Source organism: Homo sapiens, chromosome 9 (assembly GCF_000001405.40).
Source record: "Homo sapiens chromosome 9, GRCh38.p14 Primary Assembly".
NCBI classification, from domain to species: Eukaryota; Metazoa; Chordata; class Mammalia; order Primates; family Hominidae; genus Homo; species Homo sapiens.
This window is the reverse complement of record NC_000009.12, coordinates 133,964,307-133,986,510: the sequence shown is the minus strand read 5'-3', so window position 1 is coordinate 133,986,510 and position 22,204 is coordinate 133,964,307. Positions and strand designations below refer to the sequence as shown.

Below are 22,204 nucleotides of genomic sequence, written 5' to 3'. Positions count from 1 at the left end.
CCATCCAGCCAACAGCAGCAATCCGTGACCCGTCCACTTCTCCACAATTGTCCCAGCAAATGCCCTTCATAGCATAGAGCAGCCTCAGGACCCTGGGCTGCCTGTGGCTGTGTCCCCCTCTGTCAACCTGGGGCTGCTCCTCAGCCTTTCTTTGATGTTCATGACCTTGACTCTTTGGAAGGTTACAGCCTCCTTTGGTTACAGAATGCTCCCCCATCAGCAGCGTCAGGTCACGCAACTGTAGGGGTCTAGCTCCGCCTCCACGCTGCATCCTTCTTGCCTCCTAGCAGGTGGTCCAGGGCTTGGCTGTGCCCCATTGCTGGTGATGTTCTGTTTAGTTACTTGGTGAAGGTGGAGTTTGCTTGATTTCACTGTAAAGTTACTTGGTTTCCGTTTGCTGTTAACACGTACTTAAAGAAGATACTTTGAGTCAATATAAATATCTTGATATTTGCTTCTCCTTTTCTCCCTCCTTTCCTTCCTCTCTTGTCCTTCTCTGCTCATCTCTCTCAGTCTTTTCTTCCTTTTCTTCTCATCCATCTCTGCTTTTCTTTTCCCTCTCTCCCTCCCTCATTCTGTCCCTTGCTGCCATGTCTCCAGTTTGGATTATGGTTTCCTATTTTATTCCATGCATATAACCTGTTACCATCATTATTTATATTGATGCTCACATAGTCTCAGGTTTGACCAGTGGGAACTGTGTTACACCGGCTTGCTTCCCTGTGTCTTTTGATTCGTCCTCATCATTCTTCGAGCTGCAGAGGACATGTGAATACCGTGCCTGACTTTCTGGCTGGTAACCCAGGCTGGTCAACAAGATGTTCCAGGCTTACCTTGCATTTCCATTGTCCCAGCTTAAGAACCAGCTGTTTGTCCAAGGAGCTCTGGTTCCTTGGTAGTGGAGAGGGGTATTTAGAAGGCAAGATCAGGGCCGGGCGCGATGGCTCATGCCTGCAGTCCCAGCACTTTGGGAGGCCTAGGTGGGCAGATCATTTGAGGTCAGGAGTTTGAGACCAGTCTGGCCAATATGGCGAAACCTCGTCTCTACTAAAAATGCAAAAATTAGCCGGGGGTGGTGGCACACGCCTGTAGTTCCAGCTACTCGGGAGGCTGAGGTAGGAGAATCGCTTGAACCCGGAAGGCGGAGGTTGCAGTGAGCGGAGATTGTGCCACTGCACTCCAGCCTGGGTGACAGAGTGAGACTCCATCTCAGAAAAAACAAAAACAAAAACAAAACACACACACACACACACACACACACACACACACACACACACACACACAATAAGGCAAGATAGGATGAGGTGTGCTCAGTGCTGCTGGGGTGTTCCTGCTTCCAGGCACTCTCAGTGTTCACACCTGGGGAATTGGTGTATGTGTGTGTATGTATTTATTTATGTATGTGTCTCTGTATCCATATGTGTCTATACATGTTGACATGGGTATTTGTTTTCTGTCTATATCAGTGCTGCCAGATAGAAATATAATGTAAGCCACATCTGTATTTTCAGAATTTTGGTGGCTGCAATAAAAAAGCAAAAAGAAATAGGTAGCACTGATTATAATAATATATTTTACTTAACCTATGCTTTTTTTTTTTTTTGAGATAGGGCCTCCCTCTGTCCTTCAGGCTGGAATGCAGTGGCACAATCTTGGCTCACTACAACCTTTGCCTGCCCGGTTCAAGTAATTATCGCATCTCAGCCTCCTGAGTAGCTGGGACTATAGGCTTTTGCCACCACGCTTGGCTAATGTTTGTATTTTTAGGAGAGATAAGGCTTCGACACGTTGGCCATGCTGGTAGCCTATGCATTTTCAACAGGGGCATTACTGCTCTTGAGGGGGCAAAAATCAAATCTTTGGGGATGAAGAAATATTCTTATTATGAATTATTTTTAGAGACAGGGTCTCACTCTGTTGCCCAGACTGAAGAGCAGTGGTGTGATCATGGCTCACTGCAGCCTTAAACTCCTGGGCTCAAGGGATCCTTTCACTACAGCCTCCCAAGTAGCTGGGACTACAGGTGTGTGCCACCGCGCCCAGCTAATGTTTTAATTTCTTGTACAGATGAGAGCTTGCATGTTGCCCAGGCTGGTCTTGAACTCCTGGGCTCACGTGATCCTCATGTCTTGGCTTCCCAAAGTGTTGGGATTACAGGCATGAGCCACTGCAGTCAGAAGAAATCTTATTTTCACAAATAAACTACAGATGTGCATGCCACACAAAACACAGAGACAGACTAGGTACAGTGGCTCACGCCTGTAATCCCAGCACTTTGGGATGCTGAGGCAGGCAGATCACCTGAGGTCAGGATTTTGAGACCAGCTTGGCCAACATGGTGAAACCCCCGTATCTGCTAAAAATACAAAAAATTAGCTGGGTGTGGTGGTGCACACTTGTAATTCCAGCTACTTGGGAGGCTGAGGCAGGAGAATGGCTTGAACCCAGAAGGCAGAGGTTGCAGTGAGCTGAGATCACGCCATTGCACTCCAGCCTGGGTGGCAGAGTGAGACTCCATCTCAAAAGAAAAAACAAAAAACTCACAGAAACAGTGCACCTGCAGTATGAAAATTTCATGCAGGGAGGGAGATTAGGAAAAATATCTGAAAAGCCTCCTTGGAGGGACAGTAACGAAAATGAGGGTGAGAAACACTCATCTTGCGAGCACTGGCGTTCCTGCTGGGCAGGAGCCGGGGAGCGTGGGGTGGGGTGGGGTGGGGTGGGAGCCCTGGCTGTTAGTGACAGGGACTGACCGGGAGTGGGACTTGAGGGCTGTGTTGAGTGGGATTCCAGGCTCAGGCCTGGGGTCAGTAGGAAGGACCCGGGGCTGCAAGGACAGCATAGCCTGGCGTTGGCGAAGAGAGAGAGTTCTCTGCCGAGCGTTGTGATTGCAAAAATCCTGGCGTTGGTGTGGGGCAGGATGAGACCGGGAGGAATGCTGGGTGTGAGGTGTGGGGGCCGCCGTGAGAGTGACCCGTGTCTGCCTGCGGTTTGGGACTTGGAGATGGGTCGGGGCCCTGGCCTCAGGGCGGTGGACTCATGGAGGCAGGACCTTGGTGGGGGCCTGGCGTGGGTGAGCATCCGCCCCACCCCCTGTGCCTCTGTTGAGCCCTTTCTTGCTATGGGGCGCAGGTCATGAGGATGTCTCCTCCTGGAGGAAATCTTCCTTGTCTTCCTGGAAGGACGCTGGGCTCTGGCCTGGGTGGTGGGCAGCGTGATGCCCTCTTTTGAGGAGACTTGTAGGGACACATGTTTGTCCCTGTGTCCAGGCCATGTCTGTGGGCTGTGGCTTCCCAGTTTGAGGGGTGGGACTCCCAGGACAGGGACAGCGTTGGCAACCTGGTGGGGCCAGTGTGGAAGACCCTGGCTTTATGCAGATGCCCAGACCCGAGCCCCTAGCTGAGGCCCCAGCAGGTCTCCCTCCTGACTGCCCCTGAAGTCACTTCCTTCTCTGCCGGTGTCCCAGCCCGGCCACTGCCGTCTCTCTCCTAGAGCAGGTGGCGGCAGATGTTCCAGCGCAGGCCTGGATGGTAAATATTTTAGGTTTCTTGAGCCAGACGGTCTCTGTCACGACTACGCAACTCTCCCCTTGCAGCACGACAGCAGCCCTGGGTGGTCTGTAAACGGAGGAGCGTGGCAATGCTCCCATGAAATTTATTTTTGTAGAATGAAATTTGAAATGTGTTATCATTTTCACATATCATGAAATATTACTCTTACGCTTCCCCCACCACCCTGCTCAACCATTTAAAAACGTAAAAACCTTTCTTAGCTTGCAGGATGTACAAAACCAGGCGGCGGGCCCTATGAAACCAGGCAGTGGGGCCTCCAAAACCAGGCGGCGCGCCCTGCAAAACCAGGTGGTGGGCCCTGCAAAGCACAGCGGCCAGCCCTCCAAAACCAGGCGGCAGCCGGAGTCTGCCGCGCCCTCCTGCCCCGCCAGCCAGAGACTCCTGCGCCCTGTCCTAGGTCCCCTCTTGTGGCCTCCTGCCCCTCCAGCCAGTCTGCCGCGCCCCATCCTAGGCCCCCTCTTGGGGCCTCCTGCCCTGCCAGCCAGAGTCTGCCATGCCCCGTCCTAGGTCCCCTCTTGTGGCCTCCTGCCCTGCCAGCCTGGTTGGCCGTGCCCCGTCCCAGGTGCCCCTCTTGCGGCCTCCTGCCCCACAAGCCTAGTCTGCGGCCACGTGTGCTGCAGCCATGCACAGTTTGGTGCTCCTGCCCTGGAGGCACCCTCCTGCCGGCCGGCCGTCGCCCCTGCCGAGTCTCCCTGGCCTTCGGTGCCCCAGCCTCAGGCACACTGGCCACCTTCCTGTGCCTCCCAGTTCAGGGCCTTTCCCCTGCAGTTCCCTGGAGGGGAACCTTCTTGCCTGGCTCACTGCTGCCATCTGCTTAGAGGCCTGTCCTGGGAAGCCTTTCCTGCCCCCAGGCCTGCTCGAGTCCCCTGACAAGGGCTCTTGGTCCCCCGGGCTTTCCCCTTCCGGGTCGCACAGTTTGTTGCATTTACTGTTCCATTTGTATCTAAAGCCTTTGGCAGGGGCTGGTCCAACAGCAAGTGCTCAGTAAGAGCAAAGCTTTCTCCCAGGCCCTCTTCGTGCCAGGAAGCGGGCTGAGCGCCTCCATGACCCCCACCCCCGCCCTTGGGGCAGTCTAGAGGGGGCTTTGCTCTCAGCCCCATTTTCCTGACAGAGGCCGGGCTCCTCGTGTCTGGAATGACACTGCCAGAAAGAGATCCTTGGAAATGCTTGGAAACACGATGAGTGGCCCGCAGGGGCGGCAGTGGGGACCACACTCGCTTGGCCACACATAGCATCTTCTTGGTGGCCGTGTCCCTCGAGCTCAACCTCCTTGTCTGAAATGGGATGACGGTGGCCACCTTGCAGACTCTTGGAAAGATTTGGTGCAAAAAGTGTGTGTCTGGCGCCCAGCGCAGTTTCTACCCCACAGCAGGGCCCACTGAGCCTCAGGACTCGGCACCCTCACCCCGAGCCCGGCGGCTCACTCCCAGTGAAGGGCACCGGCCCTCACCCGCCGCCTGCCCTCCCTCAGCATCAGAGCAGAGTGCAGCGGGCGGCCTGAGGGAGTGGCTCTCTTCCTGAGACTGCCGCCTCACTACCCACCTCTCTTCCCCTCCCCTCTCGCCGCCAAGTGGAAGGTGAAGCCCTGGGCGCGCTGCTGGGCGCACCTGGACACTGCACGGGTATAGTGGGGGGTGTGGTCGTGGTCACTAGTGCCTGTCTGCAGAAGGAGGCATTCTGGGGCAAGCAGAATCAGGTGAGCCAGATGGTCCTACAACACCTAAGTCTGAGATGGGGAAGGGAGCTGTTAATACTCACATGAGGACCATGAGTGAGGAAAACCTGCTGGCAACACGGGACGCTGAAGAAGGGGCCTCACCCCGTCTCCTGCTTCTCCCCAGGGCCTCCTGGGTTTGACTGGGCGAAGATGGGGCACGTGCAGGCTTTGCTGTTGGCAGGGTCAACAGCAAGCTGTGCTAGTCCTCAGCAAATGAGGTATTTAGATCCCTGGGGGCAGGGTGATGGCGGAGAGCTTCCCGGAGGAGGTGGTACTTGAGATGCCCTGAAAAGTAGATGGCTTTTGGTAGCTAAGGGTTGGAGACAGGTGGTTGTTCTACAGAGAGGGCTCTGTGTGGCCACAGACTGGAGGCGCTGCCACAGTGCTTCATCCTGGATCATTGCTGGAAGGGGTGTTGCAGTTTTTGAAATCTGCGTTCCAGCAGCAGTTGGGGCAGAGGAAGCTGCATGCCACCAGCTCTGATGAGTAGAGACATAAGGCAGCGGCTGCCGCTCACTGCAGAGCTCGACCTGGCTGGCACTGGGCCACCTGCTTGGTGTTCTTCCCTCTGCCTTGCAGGGGATGGTGTTTCCCTGCAGCAGATGATGAGTCTGAGACCCAGGGAGATGCGTGATAGAAGGTTCCAGAGAGGTGGCCATGCCCCATGGCTGGTCGGGCAGCTGGGTGATGATCAGCCTCTGCGGTGTCAGGGTCGGGGGCAGCACCCCAGTGCCCTGGGGAAAGATCTTGTTGCCAGGGCCCCTCTGCCCTGACACATGCCCTTTCTCTATTCTGGGTGGGTTTGTTTCAGGACCGCCCAGCACTGGCACCTCCCCTGGTCCTTGGAAGACTCTGGGCAGCACCAGGTGGGGGCGGCTCTGCCCTGGTTAATGGATGAAGGAGGGACAGGTGACGGGCCAGTCTGAGGTCATGCAGCTGTGTGGGGGTTGAGGCCTCGTGCCAGCCCGTGCAGGTCTCTTGCCTCTGGAGCGCCATTCACTTCCCCCCTCCACCGGCAAAATGGCCCCTTGGGTTGGTGGGAGGTTGGGAGACAGAGAACCAGGTGCCTGAGTCCAGAGATGGCCCCAGGGCTGACCAGCTCTGCCCTCTGGCCACATGGCTTCCGGTCCTGGGCCTCCTGCTCCCGGGTGGCTGGTGGCCCAGCCTGTTCTCCACCCTACTCTGTGTGTCGCGCACTGGCTCGTGGCATTGAGCCGCAGAGGCAGAAACCCTGTGCTTGGTGTTGCTGGCTTTCTGGAGGGGGCACAGAATAAGGATGAATGGAGAGAGGAAGATGGCACTTTCAGATGAGAGAGAGAAGGCAGGCAGAAGGCAGGGCTGCCTTCAGGTGACGCCGGCAGGCTCCCTGATGAGGTGACAGGGCGGTGGGGTGCGCAGCTGGCGCCGCCTTCCCCTCACCACTAGCACCTGTGCTCCCCGAATGCCGTTTCAGCTGAGTGAGTTCAGCTGGGGCCTGTTGGGGAGCTCGGGGCCCTGGCAAAGTCAGCAGGCTGACAGCAGGAGGTCCTCGTGGGCCAGAGGTCAGTGGTGGGGCTCTGGGACATGGCCGGAGGCGGGGCCGGGCCCGGATTAGTGCCTGGCTGCCTGTCCTGCCGGCGGCCGTGGCTCCGGGCTCTGTGTCTCTGCTGCAGGAAGTCTTCATTTGCTTGTCCTCCCTCCCTGTCAACATCCTCTGTCCGAGTTCCGGACGGCTGCGGCGTCCGCTCCTTCCTGCTGCCCTGGGAGCCGAGCCGTCCTCATGCAGCCCCTGCCTGGGGACCCATCTCCTCTGGGCCTGGCTTCGTGTGTGGTTGGGCACTGAGCGGCCGACACATTCCTAGGGTGGAGACCGCACACACAGCGTTGAGCCTCTGACAGCCGCGTTCAGATCCTGGCTCAGCACCTCGTGGCAGACCCGTGGCGCCTCTCTGGACCCTGCATTCTCCGCTGTCAAAGGGGGTATTTTAGGAGCCCCTCCCAAGGGTTGGCCGAGGACCCGGCTGTCAGCCCGGTGCCTGGCAAGTGGGAAGTGCTCGGCGGACATGTCTCCCAGCCCCTGCAGGGTGGAGCCATGAGCTCGCCTCTCCGACACCACCACCCCTGGCACGAAAGCTCTTCCGAAGCCTCAGTGCCCCTCCCCATGTGCCCACTTGACGCGGCTGGGGTGGGCGCTCCGGGACCTGCAGACCTGCTCTCACACTGGGGTCAGGAGCTGGCTGGAGGAGACCCTAAACCCAGCGAACTCCCCTGCCCTGACCCCCTCAGCTCTGATGAGCCCCCTTCTTCACCGGGGCCAGCCCCAGGCTCAGGTGCCCGGTTTTTGGTCCCCTGAAGCTTCGTGTTCTGAAGGACTCTTTGCCTGGAGCTGGGGACGCTGTTTGGCTTCTGAATCCAAAAGATAAACAAGAATGACAAATACAGGACCGTGGAGGGGACAGGACTGGGCAGTGGGAGCTTGAACTTTGGGCCAGACTGAGCGGCTGCGCCCCTGAGTTAGGTCTCCTGCTGCCTGGCAGCTGCAGGTTTTGCAATCCTGATGCTGCTGGAAACAGTGTTTCTGTTTTGTGGGGTTCATCTGTCAGTCTTTACAGAGTTTGTGTAAGGATGAAGACAAATCATTCTCACAGACCTACTCCTTGTCCCCTAGGCCAGCTTGGCCCTGAAGTCATCAGTATTTCTGTTGGTTTGTTTTGTACTTTTGGGTTCAAAGGCAGCGCGAACACGCGGTATCTTTCCGTGACCCGCCAGGTGCTTGCGGGCTGTGGCCTTCCCAGGATTGGGGAGCCCGTCTCCAAGTTTCCTCAAGGCCTCCCAGCCCTGTGTTCTTTGAAATCTGCATAGGGGTGGGGAGGGGGTGCCTGCCTGTCTTCTGTTGTTAAGGACTTTAAAAAATGCTGTGTTGGCTGCCTCCAGGGTCATCCTTCCACAGGGGGATCCTTTCTGCAGTGGCTGGAGTAGGAGAGGGTCCCCCAGCCTGCAATGGAGGAGGTGGCAGTGAGATCCTCCTAGTGGACCCTGGGACCAGCATCCTCTGGCCGGCGGGCCAGGGAGGGCAGTTTCCCCAGCCCTGCCCAGCCCTGCCTGTCCTGGCCTCACCCTCGAACACCGTGTGCCTCCCCGCTCCTGGTCTTGAATGTGTGTCCAGTTTTCAGCCACATTTCTGGGATCATCACATTTGTCTCATACACGTAGGACATCTCCAGAGGCAGGGGGCGTGGGAGCTGCGTGCCCTAGGGCAGGTGGACGCATACACGTAGGACATCTCCAGAGGCAGGGGGCGTGGGAGCTGCGTGCCCCAGGGCAGGTGGACGCCCCATCCCCTTTGCCAGCTGAGGGGCAGAGGCCTGAGGTACTGAGCCACCTGGACTTGGCGTGGCCTTCCTGACTCAGGTGCTGCCCCCTTGACCTCGGCTGCTCCCCCGAGTTTTGAGGCCTATGTTTTGGTTTTTCTGCCTTGTTCTGTTCTCTGGCGTGTCTGTGGTTGGCGTCCGGCAGGGGCTGCAGGCTGCGTGTTGAGGGGCAGGCTCTGGACACTTGCCTGCAGCTCCAATGTCCCACCTCTGACTGTTGTCAGGAACCAGAGGTGCCAGGTGAGTGACAGCTGTCGTGGATGGGGATGGACCGCCTGTCATGTCATTTGCCTGGGTAAGTGACAGCTGTCATGCGTGGAGGGTGACTGGCCCCAGGGCCATTGCCACGTGTCCCCGGTGCACAAGGTGCCTAGACAATCCTTGTCTGGCAACATTCTGTGTCCCAGGCCCCCTGGGGTGGCGGAAGGTTCTAGTCCTTCATGCTCATGAGCGCCGCATCCTGAGACCCTCCTGCCCTCTGTGACTGGGCCATCTGTGCCTCCCTCCCCTAGGCCCCAGCTCATCTTTCTGCTGGGACGGGAGAGAGAAATGATCCCGCAGTCATTTTGGTGAAAGCCAAGACCCCCTTCAGATCTGAGCTGTTCCATCTACAGCTGCTGGGCTGCTCCTCAAATGGACACCAGGCACCCATTGGATGCCGGAGGTCCTCGTGGGATGCTGGGGGGGCCTCACTCTGCCTGAAGTCCCTCTTGGTTTTATTTGTTTTCATTCCAGAGCTGGAAGGAGGCAGGCTTGGGGCAGGGCGGCTGGGCGTGGCCTGGGCCTGGAGCTGGGCTCCGCAACTCCCAGCACCTCAGCCTCGCTGCGTGGTCGCTCCCCTCTGGCCGCAGTCCCTGGCTGTAGGAGAGGCACCCCCTTCAGCCTTGGGGTGTCCAGGCACAGGGCAGTGTGGTTAGGACCTAGGCTGGAGTCCTGGAGCTGCTCACACTGTGTGCTTTTGAGCTTGACCTTCCTGGAGCCTCAGTTTCCTTCTCTGTAGGATGGGGATAAAAGGAGTGGCTTCCTCAGTGGATGAATGGGGGATCCACACAGAGTCCGTCCATGCAGTAGAATATCTGTGGATGAACCTGGAAAATGGAATGCTAAGGCGGGGAAGCCAGGCCTGAAAGACAAGTCCCACGTGATTCTCTTAAAACGTCCAGAATAGCAGCTCCGTCGCAGGACAGAAAGCCAGATGCGTAGCTGCCGGGAGAAGGCGCTGGGGAGAGAGTTCTCAGGGGCTTGGGGGTCTGTTTGCCAGGCATGAAAAAGTTCCACAACTCCATAGTGCGGAAGGTTTGTGGCATTGTGTGTACTTTACCACAATTAAAATAAATAGCCTCTCCCTTGTGGGGAATGAAGGCCTCGTTTCATCAACTGCAACCCCGAGGCAGAGCCCATCTTCTTACTAGGGCTCCAATCTAGGGTCTCACTGTCTCCTCCTCCATCGAGGGTGAGGCCAGGAGAGGCAGGGCTGGGCGGGGCTGGGGGGACTGCCCCCCTGGACTGCTGGCCAGAGGATGCTGGTCCCAGAGTCCACTCAGGATCTCACTGTCGCCTCCTCCATCAGGGGTTGAGGGACCCCATCCTAACCTAGCTGCTGCAGAAAGGATCCCCTTGTGGGAGGATGACCCTAGAGGCGGCCAACATAGCATTTTTTTTTTTTGAAATGGAATCTCGCTCTGTCACCCAGTCTGGAGTGCAGTGGTGCGATCTCCGCTCACTGCAACCTCCGCCTCCTGGGTTCAAGCAATTCTCTGCCTCTGCCTCCCGAGTAGCTGGGATTACAGGTGCCCACCACCACGCCTGGCTAATTTTTGTATTTTCTTTTTTTTTTTAGTAGAGATGGGGTTTTACCATCTTGTCCAGGCTGGTCTTGAACTACTGACCTCGTGATCCACCCGCCTCAGCCTCCCAAAGTGCTGGGATTACAGGTGTGAGCCATGGCGCCTGGCCAACATAGCATTTTTAAAAGTCCCCTGACAAGAGAAGAAGTGTGGGAGGGTTGGAGGAGACCCGTCTGCCTTCCTGGGTCCCTCTCTCCTGACAAATATTGAAAGTTCTATTCTGTGACTGCATAGGTATAAAGGTGAACATACAGGTATGAGATATTTAAATATTCTCTTAGAGCTCAACACTCTCTTGGACCCAGGGCACTGTGCCTCTGTGTTCTTGGGTGAGCAGCCCCGTGTGGGCTTCCCTTGGCCATGCCAGGCAGGCTGGGGGCTCAGAGACTTTGGAGGGAGCTAGACTTTGTGTCCTTTGTCATTTCTCAGTTGTGTGATTTTGGCCACATCACTTCTGAGCCTCAGTTTCCTTATCTGTAAACTGGGGCTGTTGCTGCTGCTAATACTTTCCGCAATACATGTCGTGTTTTGAAAATTGAGGGGTTTGTGTGAGTGACAGTCTCTGCCCAGGGCTGGCAAGTTTTATTTAATCCTGTTTTGTAAGGCTCTGAGGCTGGGCCCCCCAGAAACAGACCCCAAGATGGGAGGTAAGCCAAGTGTGGGAGGCCAGGTAGGGAGGGAGAGAGGCAGATAACATTGACCCAGCAAGTTCCTGCTGTGGGTGACAGGCTTGGCCCACTGAGCACTGAGCGAGGATATGGGTTTGTGTCCAGCCCTCCTAGCTCCTGGTGGGGGAGGCCATGGACATGGCGGGGGTGCCGGGGCAGGCTGGGGTGCCTGCCTTTCCTAGTAAGGGGATGGGTTCTGCCTCGGGGTAGGAGTTGATGAAATGAGGCCTTCATTCCCTTCATTCTGTGAAACGGCCTGTTGGTGCTTTCACCTGCCTTGGTTGGCGTCAGCAGGAAAAGGCCGTAAAAAGGGCCTTGAGATGGACCACACTCGCTCTGGGCCATGACGCACGCTGGGTTCTGCCAGGGGCATGAATCACGTGGAAGGCCCTGCAGGAGGGTGGGTGAGGCCCGCTCCCCACGGTACCACAAGGTACAGACCTTGAGGGAAACTGTTGGCCTGAGAGATTGGAGGTTCTTGGAAGACTTCGGGGGCCAGTCAGAAAAGTGAGTGTCCTGTCTGGAAGTCCTGGAAGCAGAAGCCTTGTGTGCTGACCTGTCTGTCCATGGTGCAGTGCTGGGTGCAGGGCGTGACCTATCTGTCCGCGGCGCACTGCTGGGTGCAGGGCGCAGGGAGTGTGTGGATTTTCTGAGTGGGTGAATGGCACAGTGAGGAAGAGGACCACGTTAAGGGAGCTGTTTCCAAGTCCAGCTTGGAAACTGTAGCTTGCTCATGCCTTTGGGCAACTTGCTCCACCTTTCTGAGCCTCAGTTTACCCATTTCCACAGTAGGAAGGTGGTGCACTCCCCGTCCCCCGGGTGGATGTGGAGTGGTCACACCTGACACAGGGTGCAGGTGTGTGTTTGGCCCAGCGCAAAAGCAGGTAGCAAACGGAGACCACTGCTGATGTGACTGTGCTGCTTTGTGCCCTGGTCACCTCACCTGACGTCCACTCCCACCCGGCGAGTGGCTGCCTCAAGGGGAGGCTGGAGGTTGGAGGGGCACTGTGGGCCGTTCTGGGACCACCTCCCTGTCTAGGCCCTTGTGCAAGGGAGCTGGAGTTGTGGTGGGCCTGGGTATTCACTCACCCAGCAAGCGTTACTGACCGCTACCCCGTGCCTGGCTCCGGGCAGACAGGCAGCCCTGCTTGCGGCCCAGGAGGACACAGGCAGATACCACACAGGCAGTGTGGAGGGAGTGTGAGGAGACGCTGGGCCCTGCCAGGAATGTGGCAGCGGGTGGGTGGGGCAGGGTCTGGGGCTTCCTGGAGGAAGTGACCTTTTAGCTGAGCCCTGCGTGACAGTGCGCCAGGTGAGCGTGAAGGGAGCGTTCTGGAACAGGTTCACAACACCCCAGCCCCCACCTTCCTGGCCTGGTAATCTGGGGTCAGGACTCTGACCTGCTGGATCCTGCTTCCACGTCCTCATTTTCCTCCTGAATTGCCATGTTGTTTTTCTGCCCCGAGGTTCTTTCCCAGCAGTCAGCTGAGTGGGAATTTGATGCTTATCCCAAGGCCTGGGGGGGCCCTGCATTTTGTCTTCCTCTTTAGGGACACGCAGGTGTCCTTTCTCATGATGGGGGTGTTGATGGGTGGGTAGGCGTGGGTAGCCACACACTGGCAATGTCCCAGGGACAAAGGGCGAGGGCGTCACCCTTGTGCGGGGTATCTAGGGTTCCTCACCTGCCACCTTGATCACTGGAATTGGGAGGGAGAGTGTCGTGTTATTTTGAAGTCATCTTCCTTCTCTGTAGGGCGTGCGTGGGTTGGGCACTGTCAGCTCGTCTGCGCCAGCTTCTTTGGGTCTCCTTCCTCTCTGGGAGTGGTTTTCTGCACCGCTGCCCTTTGCAGATGGCCTTCCGGGGAGAGCCCACCTCCAGGGTCAGGACCAGAGGCCAGCGGCATAGGGATGCCGGGGTGACAGGATAACTCTCCAGTCCTGCCCGGGGGTCATGGGAGGGAGGCTGATGTTACCATACACCAGAAGAAGCCTGTTCTTTCCTGGTTGTGGGACTTTGGCACGTTTCTGAACTCCGAGTTTCGCGGTACAGCGCCAGTTTTTCCTGTGCAGAGTGGGTGTGAGGATGCAGGGGGTTGACGCTCTGGGCGGGCTGAGCGCTGGGCCAGGCGGGCCAGATGCCAGACAGATGGTGGCATTGAGGTCTCTTCAACTGTGTGCAGACAGGGGGGCTTGCAGATCCCCTGTGCCCATGGACCTTCCTTGGGCCCTCCGTGGCACTGGGTCTTCACTGCCCGCTGCCTTGGTACCAAGGCAGGGCTCCCTGGGGATTCCTTACCGTTCCCATCTCTCTCCAGGAGGGAGGCTGGTTGGTGTTCCAGGCAACGGCTTCCCCAGTGCCCTCCTCCTCCGCCTCCCACCCTTCCCTTAGCATCTTCAAAGTGGTGATGGGGAGCTTCTCCATGGACTTGTGAGACACCCCTCATCATGGGAGTAGCCAGTGCCTAACTCAGGTTAAGTGATGAAGGAAGATGGGTCCAGTGGGCACGTGAGATCTCGGGCCACCTGCATCATGCCTGGGCCTTGGTTGCCTCATCTGTAAAGTGGGGCCATCATTTCTGCCTGACGCCTCCAGGAGTGGGTGGGAGGAGGGCTTGGGCGGGTGTCTGCAGTCAGGTTCCCCTCGCTGGAGTGAGTGGCAAGAGCCTCCGCTGCCTTCGGATCTGCTTTGTGAGGACTCTTGCGGGAGGCCCTGCCGATGACTCTGACTGTCTGTGCTCCATGCTCTGGGTGACAAGTTCCCTCTTCTGTTTCTTAAGGAGATGTTTCTCAGGGGGGCTCAGGCTTGCAGGAGGCGGGCCGCCCCTCGGCTACATGTGTCTGCGGGAGCCAGCGGCAAAGAGTGTTTGCCTTTAATAATGACATGGGCTCTCCGCTGCTTTCTTTGGGTGAATCTCCATTTTTCTGCATTAGCTAATGACGCAGTGTGTTCCTGGAGCCTCCCCCACCCCTGCCCTGCCCCAGCATCGCAGCGCCTGGGCTGCAAGCCTGGAGATGTTCTTAGAGAAGGGTCGGACGGACGGGTGCCCAGCAATTCCTGACTGTTTAGTTAGCGGGAGCTGAGGGGCGTGCCCGCTGAGGACAGGTGCCTTATCTGGGAGTGAAAAACCACGTCAATAAATCCAGGCCATAAACCTCACCTTTCGAAGCAGTCATGTGTGTGTTTTATGGGTTGGCTGATCTGTGCGGCCCGAATTCTTGGCAGCATGAATTCTTGGGACTTTGGGGTGTGTGTGGGTGTGTGTGGCTATGGATGAATCAGAATGGCCTTTGGGGACAGGAATTGGGGCTTGGTCTGCATCCGCGCTGTGTGACCTGGGGCAGAAGACTTCCCTTCTGTGCCTATCTGCATCTCTGGTGAATCCGGGCCATGCCGTCCACTTCCTTGAGGTTGTTTTCTGCCCTTTGAAGTGACCAAGGGCTCGGGGATCTGCAGCCCCAGGGGCCTTTTTTGCCTGCAGAGGTCTGTGCACTCTACGGGGATGCTGTTGGACCAGGAGTTGCCCTTTCTGTTGGGGGAAGCCCTGGCCGCCTCCCCATTGTGATTCAGGACCCGGGTGGTGCAGGTGGCCCCAGGCTGTGGGTTTTGTTGACAGCTGGGGACCCGTGACTGGCTCAGCCCACACCCTGGACCAGCTCCTGGGGCCCCTGTCCTGCCCTGCTCCTTCCCACGCTGGCCTTGACCCTTCATGTCAGCAGCCTCCACATGCTGGCCATGGTTGTCCTTTGCAGTATGAAATGGGTGGCCTGGGCAGGAGGCCAGTGTCACAGTCACGACTCACCTCCCCAGTGGAGCAGCTCAGGCCCCCCAGCCTTTCTCTGGTGTTGCCGTCTGGTGGCCTGGGAGGGGTGGGCTGGCTCCTGGGCTGCCCCTCTGTGTGTGTGTGGGCCGTGGGCCTGGCCAGGACAGTTTCTAGGCTAGAGAGTCATTGGCGTAGAACATGTGGCCCCCTCCTGGGTTCCTGGGGCACAGTGGAGTCACCGGTCCCACGGTGCCTGCTTGCGGCTGCCCCTGGGCTGCCGTGGCGACCCAGATGGTGACGATCAGGATCAGTTAAACACCGAGGGGCCAAGTGGGTCTGACCCCCAGAGGGCTTTCCCTGCCCCCGACAGGCCTCACAGCAGCAGTTACGACTGTTCCATCTGCAAGCTTTGGAGACTGAGGGTCAGAGGGCACACGGACTCTGCCTGACTTCGTTGGGGGAAGCGATGGTGGGAGTGGAACCCGGGGCTTCCCGGTCCAGACCTTGGTGTCCCCACTCCCCGCAGGAGGCACCGCGGGCTCCTGAGATACTGTGACTTGCACCTGTAATATATATATATTTTTTATTTCAAAAAGGAAAAGATAGAATTTTCACACACCATTCCCTTCTCATGCAAATGAACCTTGGGAGAAATTGGCCTGTCATCTCTTTGGGTGTATTTTGTGGTAATTTAGCTGCTTAAACGAAACATCTGTTAACCAGGGAGAGCCAGGCTGTAGATTAAAGCAAGAGTACAGAAGCCGTTTGCATTTACTGTGATTGAGGAGTGGCCTGCTAGTTCAGGGCTGCCCTGCAGATGGACAGACGAGACCATTTGACACGAGAGGCTGTGGGGCAGGTGACAGGCCCGAGGCTTTCTGCTGCCTGCCCCTGGGGCCTGAGGAGAGGCAGCTTTCTTGTTGGTAGCTAGGCCAGAGGCTGGGGCTGGGCTTCGAAGTTGGAGGTGCTGGGCCAGCAAGGCTGGGCCCAGGGAAGGAGCCACCTCCATCTCTGCAGCCCCACATGTGTCTGTCAAAGGGACCAGGTACACCAACCACAGGGCTGTGGGTGCCGTGGACAGCCTCGTGATCGCCACTGCCACGCCTCTGTGGGCTCCTCTGTAGAACGGGCTGTGGGGGTGGTCAGGTGAGGTCTGGTGAGGTCCCGTGAGCCTCGGTGGCCTCGTGTGGGCCAAGGTCCCTGGCTCCCAGCAAGCACCGAACGTGGTGCCATCCCCCAGCCTCCGCTTGGGAAACTGCCTTTTTACGAGACTTGTATTTTCAAGACATGGCGGGCGGGGGTTTTCCTCACATCGCTTGCTGTGTGGGGTCATCGGGTGGGGCCCTTCCCCAGGCCTTCCTGTGCCCAGGGAGCTGAGGACCTGGCACTTGTGAGTGATTGGCCCTTGGGGCAAGGGAGAGATGGTTGAGACTCGGTCTCTCCTTCAAGGAGTCCTGCAGAGTCTGAGGGGAGCGGGAGGAGTGTGGCCATTGTGGGAGCTGTTGAGTGGGCAGGGAGGGTGGAGGACCAGGATGGCAGGAGCAGCGGGTGCTGAGGCCAGGGGGTGCAGACCACCCTGCACGTCTGGGGGGTGGCAGGAACTCTGAGTCACTGCCTTGAAGGCTGCAGGGAGGCAGGGCCGGCTTCATCCTGGGTGTGCCAGGGAACCCTGGGCAGGGTTGGTGCAGATGTGGCGTGCTCAGATTTGGCTTTGGAAAGCTCCACTGTGTCTGCACTACAGGGACACCTGGAGAGGGAGGCCTGGAGCCCCAGAGGCTGGGGCAGAGGCAGATGGGGGTGTCCAGGCTGGGGGGTGGGGAGAGAAGTGGGAATGGAGAGAGATGGACGGCCCCGCTGGAGCGCAGGAGGAGTGGGTGGGCTTGGGGTGGATTGGACTTGGGTGATGAAGAGGGTGCTCTGGGGTCAGGCTTGAGCAGTGCGATGGACAGTGGGGCTCATCTGGAGTTGGCCCTAGGGGTTCAAGTCCCCCACTGGCCAAGGTTGCAGGGATGTCTGGGTTCTCCCAGCAGCCTTCCTGGAATCCGCTCTGGTCAGGGTTGGGGTGTTTCAGCTCCACCCCTGAGGTTCCCTGGTTGGCCTCAGGCTTCTTGTCTCAGTGGTGCTGATGCTGGTTGGTGTCCAGGTTTGCTGGACTTGAAGGTGGGAGGTCAGTGGTCTTGGTGGGTCTGGCCCCAGCCTGGGAGTGACCAAACTTAGCAGCCTCTGGCACTGTCAGATCCCTGGAGAGAGACGTCTGATTGGCACAGACTGAATTCCAGATCCTCCCTCCTTCCCTGTTCGTTGTATTCTCTACCATGCCAGCAGCGCAGCCGTGAGAAGCCGCAGTTCATCCGGCAGGAGGGAAGCAGGTGCAGAGGCTCGTCCTCGCAGGCCCGGCGGGCACGGTGGAATCCAGCTCTCGTCCTCGCAGGCCCGGCGGGCACGGTGGAATCCAGCTCTCGGGGGAAGTGTGAATCCCGGCATGTGGGATTCATCTCAGGCAACTAGACGGCTTTCACCGACACCCGGCCAAACTGCCTCAAAACCCAAAACAGTTGTCTCTTATTTTTAAGTGGTTTTTGCCTGTGGAAAGAGTGGTTTTTCTTAGAAAAGGGCACTGCCTTAGATTGATTTTTGGGGGACTCACTTATTGCTATTGATCTGTTAAAGCTTTAATCGGGAAATAGCCTCGTGGTGGTTCTCAGTGAGGCACATTTGCTGCAACCGAGGGTGGCTGTGCTGTCGCGAGCCGCTGAGCCAGCCAGCCGGGGGTCTCGAGACACCCTCCAGATCTGAGCTGGGGACAGGGCCCTACCCCGGCAGGTCCCAGGAGTGAGCCCAGGGCTGACAGAGGACAGTGCCATGGTCTGAAGCTGCACGAGAGGCAGAGGCCGATGGTGGCTCTCTCTCCCGGCTACAAGGCTCTGTGATGGGTCAGTGTGTGGCTGGAGGATGTCCCCAGGCAGCCCCAGAGCCCGGGTCGTGTAGGCTCTAGAGGACCGGCAGCTCTGTCCAGGCCCCCGGGGATGGCCCCATGGGTAGGGACCCTGGGGACCATGGGACTGGCCCCGAGCGCGTTTCTCTTCCTCTTCATGTTGCCTGGTGCATGGGTGGTACCAGAGCTTTGACAACTGCATCTCTGAGCCTCTCTTGCCTTTTGGTGGTGTTTTTCCCCCCCACAACCTTTTCAAATGTATTATTTATTTATTTAATTGGTACATAATAATTGTACGTTGTTTATGGGGTATGTGTGACACTTTGATACACATATGCCATTGTTTATGGGGTATGTGTGACACTTTAATACACATATACCGTGTGTAATGATGAAATGAGGGTCATTAGGATGCCCATGATCCCAAACATGTGGCATTTCTTTGTGTTGGGAACATTTCACGTCCTCTCTTCTAGTTATTTTGAAATATGCAAGAAGTTATCGTTAACTGTAATCCTCCTGCCGTGCTTCTGAGCACTAGGACTCGTTCCTGTCTAATTGCATGTTTGCCCCCATTAACCAATCTCTCTTCACTTTCCTGTCGCCCCACCCAGTCTCTGATGTCCATCATTCCACTCTGTCCCTCCATGAGGTCAACTTTTTTAGCTTTAACATATGAGAGAGACATCATATGATATTTAGGTTTTTTTTTTTTTTTTTTTTTTTTGGTTATAGAGTCTTCCTCTGTTGCCCAGGCTGGAGTGCAGTGGTGTGATCTTGGCTCACTGCGACCTCCACCTCGTGGGTTCAAGCCATTCTCCTGCCTCAGCCTCCTGAGTAGCTGGTACTACAGGTGCACACCACCACATCCGGCTAATTTTTGTATTTTTAGTAGGAGATGGGGTTTCACCACGTTGGGCGGGCTGGTCTCAAACTCCTGGCCTCAAGTGATCCACCAGCCTAGGCCTCCTAAAGTGCTGGGATTATAGGTGTGAGCCACTGCACCCGGCCCATATGATATTTAGCTTTCTGTGTCTGGCTTTTTTCACTTAACAATGACCTCTAGTTCCATCCACATTGCTGCAATGACAGGATTTTATTCTTTTTCATGGCTGAATAGTATTCTATTGTGTATATATGTCACATTTTCTTTATCCATTCATTCACTGATATTTAGGTTGATTGTGAATAGTGCTACGGTAAAGGTGGGAGTGCAGATATATCTCAAACACTGATTTCCTTTCTTTTGTTTACATGCCTGGTGGTAGGATTGCTGGATCAGGCAGATCTCTTTTTAGTTTTTTGAGGACCCTCTGTACTGTTTCCTATAGTGGCTGTATTAGTCTACGTTCTGACCAGCAGTGTACTAGTGTTCCCCTTTCTCCACATCCTTGCCAGCATCTGTTGATTTCTTGTTGATAATAGCTATTATAACTGGGGTGAGATGGTATCTCGTTGTGGTTTTGGCTTGCATTCCTGTGATGATTAGTGATGTTGAGCATTTTTTCACATGCCCGTTGGCCATTTGTATGTCTTTTGAGAAATGTCTTAATAACAGATTATTTACCCGTTTAAAAATCAGATTATTATTATTATCATTACTATTTGCTTTTTTTTTTTTTTTTTGAGACAAAGTCTTGCTCAGTCACCTAGGCTGGAGTGCAGTGGTGCAATCTTGGCTTACTGCCACCTCTGCCTCCTGGGTTCAAGCAATTCTCCTGCCTCAGCCTCCCAAGTAGCTGGGATTGCAGGCGCCCGCCACCAAGCCCAACTGATTTTTTGTATTTTTAGTAGAGACAGGGTTTACGGTGTTGGCCAGGCTGGTCTCAAACTCTTGACCTCAAGTGATCTGCCCGCCACGGCCTCCCAGAGTGCTGGGATTACAGGCATGAGCCATCGTGCTCGGCCCTGCTATTAAGTTGACTTTTTTTTTTTAAAGTTTTAAATTTTTTATGTTTTTTGAGTCAGGATCTTGCTCTGTCACCTGGCTGGAGTGCAGTGGTGTGATCACAGCTCACTGCAGCCTCTACCTCCTAGGCTCAAGTGATTCACCTCAGCCCCCAAGTAGCTGGGACAATAGGTGCGTGCCACCACGCCTGGCTAATTTTTGTATGTTTTGTAGAGACGGGGTCTCGCCATATTGCACAGGCCAGTCTCGAACTCCTGGCCTCAAGCCATCTTCCCGCCTCGGCCTCTCAAAGTGTTGGGATTATAGGCATGAGCCACCTCGCTGGACCGAGTTCTTTATGTATTCTGGTTATTAAAAATCCCTTGTCGGATGAATAGTTTGCAGATTTGTTCCCCTATCCTGTAGGTTTTCTCTTCACTCTGTTGATTGTTTGCTTTGCTGTGTGGAGGCGTTTAGCTTGATGTAATCCCATTTGTCTATTTTTCGTTTTGTTCTGTCCGCTTTTGAGGTTTTACCCAAAAAATCTTTGCCCAGACCAATGTCCGGAAGCATTTCCCCAATGTTTTCTTTCAGTAGTTTTATGGTTTTGGGTCTTATGGGTAAGTCTTTAATCCCATTTGATTTGATTCTTGCATATGGGGAGACATGGAAGTCTAGTTTCATTTTTCTGCATATGGATATGCAGTTTACCTATCACCATTTATTAGAGATTGTTCTTTCCCCACTGAATGTTCTTGGTGCCTTTGTTGAAAATGAGTTGACTGTAAATGTGTGGATTCATTTCTGGGTTGTTTTATTCCATTGGTCTAGGTATGTGTTTTGTTTTTATGCCAGTATCATGCTGCTTTTGTTGCTGTAGCTTTGTAGTGTGTTTTGAAGTCAGGTAGTGTGATGCCTCCAGCTTTGTTGTTTTTGTTCAGGATTGCTTTGGCACTTCAGGGTCTTCTGTGTTTTCAATATGTATTTTGGGATTGTTTTTTCTATTTCTTTGAAGAATGTCATTGGTATTTTGATAGGAATTGCATTTAATCTATAGATATTTTGGTAGTGTGGTCATTTTCAAATTATTAATTCTTCGAATGCATGAACATGGGATGTCTTCCATTTTTGGTGACTGCTTGAATTTTTTTAATCAGTGTTTTACAGTTTCTCTTGTAGGGATCTTTCACCTCCTTGGTTAAATTTATTCCTAGAAATTTTAATTATTTTGTAGCTGTTATAAATGGTATTGCTTTCTTGACTTTTTTTTTTTTTTTTGACAGTCTCGCTCTGTCATCCAGGCTGGAGTGCAGTGGCATGATCTTGGCTCATTGCAACCTTCATCTCGTGGGTTCAAATGATTCTCCTGTCTCAGCCTCCCTAGTAGCTGGGACTATAGGTTCCCATCATCATGCCTGCCTAACTTTTGTTATTATTATTTTTTTTTTTTAGAGATGGGGTTTCACCATGTTGGCCAGGCTGGTCTCAAACTTCTGACCTCAGGTGATCTGCCCACCTTGGCCTCCCAATGTGCGGTGATTAGAGGCATGAGCCACTGTGCCTGGCCTTTCTTGATTTTTTTTTTATTCTGCTAGTCCATTGTTGGTGTATGGAAATGCTACTGTTTTCTATATGTTAATTTTGTATCCTGCAATGTTACTGAATTTGTTATCAGTTCTAGGTTTTTTTGGTGGAGCTTTTAGGGTTTTCTATATCTAAGATCATGTCTGCAAACAGGGACAGTTTGACTTCCTGCTTTCCAATTTGGAGGCCCTCTATTTCTTTCCTGTGTTTAATTGGTCTGGCTAGCACTTCTAGTACTACGTTGAATAAGAGTGGTGAAAGTGGGCACCCTTATTTTGTTCCAGTTCTTAGAGAAAAAGCTTTCAGGTTCTCCCCATTCAGTATAATGTTAGCTATGGGTTTCTCATGTATGACCTTTATTGTGTAGAGGAGTGCTCCTTCTGTACCTAGATTTTTGAGGGTTTTTATCCCAAAATGATATTGAATTTTATCAAATGCTTTTTCTGCATCTGTTGAGATGATCATATGGTTTTTGTTCTTCCTTCTGTTGATGTGATATATCATGTTTATTGATTTCTGTATGTTGAGCCATCCTTGCATTCCTGGGATAAATCCCATTTGATCATGGTAAGGGGTCTTTATATTGTGTTGTTGGATTTGGTTTGCTAGGATTTTGTGGATGATTTTTGCATCTATGTTCGTTAGGGTATTGGCCTATAATTTTTATGTTGTGCTAAAATGTATTTTTCATTATACATATATGACATCCATTATAAAAAGCATACGCATGCAAAATTATATATGTTATATACATAAATATGTGTATTATATATATTTATGCAAATGTAAATACATATATTTGTGTGTATATATTTGTACAAATGTAAATACATGTATTTGTGTGTGTGTGTATATACATATGTGTATATATATATATATCAG

General features: G+C 54.5%; 1 protein-coding gene across 9 annotated transcripts in view, besides 9 other annotated features; it reads left to right on the top strand.

Annotated features, from left to right (window-relative positions):
• Nucleotides 1-22,204, top strand: part of VAV2 (vav guanine nucleotide exchange factor 2) — a 230,431-nt gene that overhangs the window by 5,814 nt on the left and 202,413 nt on the right. The window lies entirely within an intron of this gene.
• Nucleotides 2,576-3,320: an enhancer, noted in NCBI's record as "H3K4me1 hESC enhancer chr9:136848313-136849057 (GRCh37/hg19 assembly coordinates)". NCBI's record gives its function as "activates a minimal SCP1, AML or CMV promoter by ChIP-STARR-seq in primed H9 embryonic stem cells {active_cell/tissue: H9 hESC(primed)}" and the evidence as "EXISTENCE:reporter gene assay evidence [ECO:0000049][PMID:30033119]".
• Nucleotides 6,283-6,798: an enhancer, noted in NCBI's record as "H3K27ac-H3K4me1 hESC enhancer chr9:136844835-136845350 (GRCh37/hg19 assembly coordinates)". NCBI's record gives its function as "activates a minimal SCP1, AML or CMV promoter by ChIP-STARR-seq in naive H9 embryonic stem cells {active_cell/tissue: H9 hESC(naive)}" and the evidence as "EXISTENCE:reporter gene assay evidence [ECO:0000049][PMID:30033119]".
• Nucleotides 6,283-6,801: a biological region, named in NCBI's record as "H3K27ac-H3K4me1 hESC enhancer GRCh37_chr9:136844835-136845350".
• Nucleotides 6,752-6,801: an enhancer, noted in NCBI's record as "active region_29266". NCBI's record gives its function as "activates an Ori minimal core promoter by ATAC-STARR-seq in GM12878 lymphoblastoid cells {active_cell/tissue: GM12878}" and the evidence as "EXISTENCE:reporter gene assay evidence [ECO:0000049][PMID:35858748]".
• Nucleotides 7,315-7,832: an enhancer, noted in NCBI's record as "H3K27ac-H3K4me1 hESC enhancer chr9:136843801-136844318 (GRCh37/hg19 assembly coordinates)". NCBI's record gives its function as "activates a minimal SCP1, AML or CMV promoter by ChIP-STARR-seq in naive H9 embryonic stem cells {active_cell/tissue: H9 hESC(naive)}" and the evidence as "EXISTENCE:reporter gene assay evidence [ECO:0000049][PMID:30033119]".
• Nucleotides 12,746-12,835: an enhancer, noted in NCBI's record as "active region_29265". NCBI's record gives its function as "activates an Ori minimal core promoter by ATAC-STARR-seq in GM12878 lymphoblastoid cells {active_cell/tissue: GM12878}" and the evidence as "EXISTENCE:reporter gene assay evidence [ECO:0000049][PMID:35858748]".
• Nucleotides 14,598-14,657: an enhancer, noted in NCBI's record as "active region_29264". NCBI's record gives its function as "activates an Ori minimal core promoter by ATAC-STARR-seq in GM12878 lymphoblastoid cells {active_cell/tissue: GM12878}" and the evidence as "EXISTENCE:reporter gene assay evidence [ECO:0000049][PMID:35858748]".
• Nucleotides 14,698-15,581: an enhancer, noted in NCBI's record as "H3K27ac-H3K4me1 hESC enhancer chr9:136836052-136836935 (GRCh37/hg19 assembly coordinates)". NCBI's record gives its function as "activates a minimal SCP1, AML or CMV promoter by ChIP-STARR-seq in naive H9 embryonic stem cells {active_cell/tissue: H9 hESC(naive)}" and the evidence as "EXISTENCE:reporter gene assay evidence [ECO:0000049][PMID:30033119]".
• Nucleotides 15,582-16,466: an enhancer, noted in NCBI's record as "H3K4me1 hESC enhancer chr9:136835167-136836051 (GRCh37/hg19 assembly coordinates)". NCBI's record gives its function as "activates a minimal SCP1, AML or CMV promoter by ChIP-STARR-seq in naive H9 embryonic stem cells {active_cell/tissue: H9 hESC(naive)}" and the evidence as "EXISTENCE:reporter gene assay evidence [ECO:0000049][PMID:30033119]".